This window comes from Homo sapiens, chromosome 11, assembly GCF_000001405.40.
Source record: "Homo sapiens chromosome 11, GRCh38.p14 Primary Assembly".
In the NCBI taxonomy this organism is placed as follows: domain Eukaryota; kingdom Metazoa; phylum Chordata; class Mammalia; order Primates; family Hominidae; genus Homo; species Homo sapiens.
Window position 1 is genome coordinate 134,898,593 of NC_000011.10, and position 3,678 is coordinate 134,902,270.

The window sequence follows — 3,678 nt, forward strand, 5'->3', positions numbered from 1 at the left end:
ATTCTAGAAGTATGTCTATGTTTCTTTTAACTCTTTTATTATGTTGTTCCATTGAATTTTGCCTTACCTAGTTTCTAACCACATAGCTATGGCCTTTCTTGTATTTGGTCTATTGTAAGTAATATGATTTTATTTCTTGATATTTTAAAGATTTCTCTTTATCATTATTTTATGATGTAAACTTGCTTTGATTTGGTCTTTTGGTTTGTTTCTTTTATTTTGTTTTTCTGCGTGGAATTCTTGGCTGTATAGTCCCATTGTTTTTATCAAATTTTAAATACTCTCTGTGGTTATTTCCTCCTATATTTCGTTTTCTACCTCCTCTCATTTGGGTTTCCTATTATGTATACATGAGCCCCTTTGCACTGTTTCCTAAATACCTGTCATTCTGCTTTTCTTTCCTACTCTTTTAATTTTCCCTGAATTGATTTGGGATAGGTTATATTGTTACAAGTTTAAGTTTACAATCTTTTCTTCTGCACTGTCTAATCTGCAGTTATTCCTATTTCTATCTCTAGATGCTCCACGTGGTTCATTTTTATGTTTTGCTTTTCCCCTCATTATATTGATGTTTGCCTTTAAACTGTTGCGTGTATTCAGTGTGTGTATTACAGCGTTTTCCTAACTTTGTCTGCTAATTTCATCATGCCCGTCTCATTTCTGAGTCTTTCTGCTGATTGAATTTTCATTTGGTCATGGATCACGTTTGCTGTTTTTTGCCTGACCAGTTGTTTTTTATTGGCTGAGTACTGTATTTTGTTGTATTCCTAGAAAGAGTGGTGGACTTAGTTCTTGTAAACTTAGGTTACTGGTTCGTCAGTTTTATTTCTCAAACTGATGCATGTCTGTATACCTGTCTTTTAAAATGTCTAGAATGCATTTCAGGGAGGCCTTACTCTGCTGAATATCACCTTTGTTCAATGTCGTCTCTTCACGGTGGCTAATTGGCACTTGAACCTTTCTCAGTCCTCTGTAAGCTGTGGGTGTTTTATAGCTAATGTATTTTCCTTCTTCAGAAGTTATTTTTTGTTTAGACTCTTGATGTTTCTCCCTATGGGTATGCAGATTGGAATATCCAAATACTACAGGGGAAGCTATACAGATTTCTTGGCATGGCTTCTTTCGTACACTGCTCTGCAAATTCTAGTTACTCTGGTCCCTCAAAACTCTGATCTCTGTCTCCTCAGCACAGTGATTCTTCTGGGCTCTGTTTGGCTTCGTCTTCTGCTGTGGTCCTAAAATTACCTCCAGATATAAAGCCAGAGTACATGTAGTGCTCACTTCCTATGTTTTCTTGTCTTGAGGATTAGTCACCCATTGCTTTCTGTCCAGTATATAAAATTTATTGTTTTATACATTTCATGCACCCCTGTAGTTGTTTATGCTTGAGATTAACTTTGAAATCTACAAGATACTTTTAAATAAAGGACATCAAACTCCAATTCAAAACACGTGTGTTCTGTCTCTATCCACAATCACAGATATATTTCTAAAATACGTGTTTCTAAACATCTACATCCTACTTGTTGGCTTCTGTGTGCCATCCTCAGGAGGCCTTTTCTCATATCATGGGCTGGGCCTGCCTCTCTGCCATATACATTTTACACTCTGGATCTCATGTTTGCTATCCGTATCCCACTTGTACTAACGTGTTGAGTGTCTCCCTAAGAGACTGTGAGCTCTGAGAGGGCAGAAGACGTTGTGTCAGTCTTGTGCCCCTGCTCTCCCTGCAGAGCCCAAAACATGGCCTTGTGCCTAGGCTTACAACAAATATTTATGAAATCCATACGTATACATAAGAAACAAATGTGTTATCAATTAATATTACCAGTTTAGTAGCCTTGGAAAATGTCTCATAAAAACTTTATGTCAGAGTTTCCCTTATCTGGAAATCAAAGAGATGAGCGAATATCATTAAAGTTTTTTATACTCTAAAATTGTTTCTCCGATTTTCTTTGATTTTCACAACTATCTGCTGAGAAAGAAAGATACTCATTTTAATTTTCAGATTATAAGTGAGAAAAACATTTTTCAAAAGGATTAAGCAATCTGTTTAAAATTGCATAGCTAATTAGTAAAAAGGCTTGGGCTCAAAGTTGTTTGACTTTATACTTTATTTCGAGAAATACATTATTATATGGAGAAATCCCTTCTACTGTAGCTTAACTCCTCCTTTAAAAAAGGAAAACAAGCAAACACAAAAAATCTTTGTGTTTATATCCTGCTTCTTCAAGAGATTGTGAGCTTCTTGAAGGCCAGAGCTGTAAATTATATATTTTTGTGATTTCCCCAAAGTCTCAAATGTGTTCTACACAGTGCAGTAAATAATTTGATATAATTCTCTGCAGGAAAATTGATCCAGTGCTGAAAACCAGTAAACAATTCTCATTAACTGTCTCTGTACCTCATGTGTCACACAGAATTTGTCCTATGGTAAGTGATTAAACCTGGTTGTTAAAGCAATGAATGATTTATCTAGCAGAATGTCAAGTTTTGAAGCCCTCCCACCTGGACCCTTTAGCCTCAAGGCTGCCATACCACAGCCCAGGTTCTGTTGAGAAAGATGTTGCCGGACAGTCTAGGTACGGGTGTAGAATTTGCCCTTCCTAATTTGTTTATCCTCTTCCAATCTTCATTGCATCCTTTATCTGGTAGCAGATTATTTTTTCAGGGGTTAAAACTTCATGTGCTTTCTAGGACTAGATAGGTAACATGAATGTGTAAATCTGTGGTCATAAAACAATAGGGTGGGACGATTCCTGTAGCAAACTAGAGCTGAGAAGGCCCTATGCATAGGTAAAAACAAATTTTAAATGCTAAAATCACCCCACCTTCCTGAGCAAATAAAATGTCTGTGCATCAAGCTAAGCCTGGGGCCCGCAAGTTCATGTCCCCTGCTTGGGGTCATTCCACACCTTTGCTCAGATGTTTGCCGTGTACTCCACCCGGCTACACAGACACATTCAGACTTCTCAGCTGGGCACACAGGCTGCTCCGAAGTCTGGTCTCAGCCCAATTTCCCAGCTGCTTCTCCCCTCTGCTCCCACACACAGCCTCCCACACTCCTGTCCACCTCTACTGTGGGCTGTCCCTGAGCCTGACACTGTGCATCTCACCTGCTGGTCTGCTCTGCTAGACGGGTAACATGAATGTGTGAATCCGCTGGCCTGCTCCGTGCTCTGCATGCTGGAATCTGACTGTTGGAATCCTGGGTTGCCTCAGCTGCGCTCTCCACAATGAGGCCTTTTCGACTGACTCCTGCAGGGTGCATGTGGACCTTTCCCTTTGGTTTGCATAGCCCTGGGAGGCTATTTATTTTCACTCTCGAAGCCATTTTCTGTACCTTCACCACCAGTTTACACTTCAGGAAACTAAGACATTGAAAGCTAAGTGAGCTGACCAAGGCTGCATTTTGAGAAATGGCTTTTCTTTACCAGTACCTGCACACTTGATAACTGCATACCTTCCCTACTGGTTTAAAACTATCTGTGGGCCCTTGTCCAATGTTTGTACTGTCCACAGCACTTTTCACAGTGTTTGGCACACTGTAGATGATCAGTGAATGTCTGAAGGTCGAATGGAGTTTATGCTGAATAGGTGTGCGTCTGTGTGTGTGTGTGCGTCTGTGCGTGTGTGTGTGTCTGCATTTCAGGTAATAGAGTCTCATTATTCCTTCAC

The 3,678-nt window shown here is 39.6% G+C and overlaps 1 annotated feature.

The window, feature by feature from the left end:
• Positions 3,043–3,337: a silencer, noted in NCBI's record as "tiled region #927; K562 Repressive non-DNase unmatched - State 21:Repr". NCBI's record gives its function as "represses a minimal TATA promoter and a strong SV40 promoter by Sharpr-MPRA in K562 cells {active_cell/tissue: K562}" and the evidence as "EXISTENCE:reporter gene assay evidence [ECO:0000049][PMID:27701403]".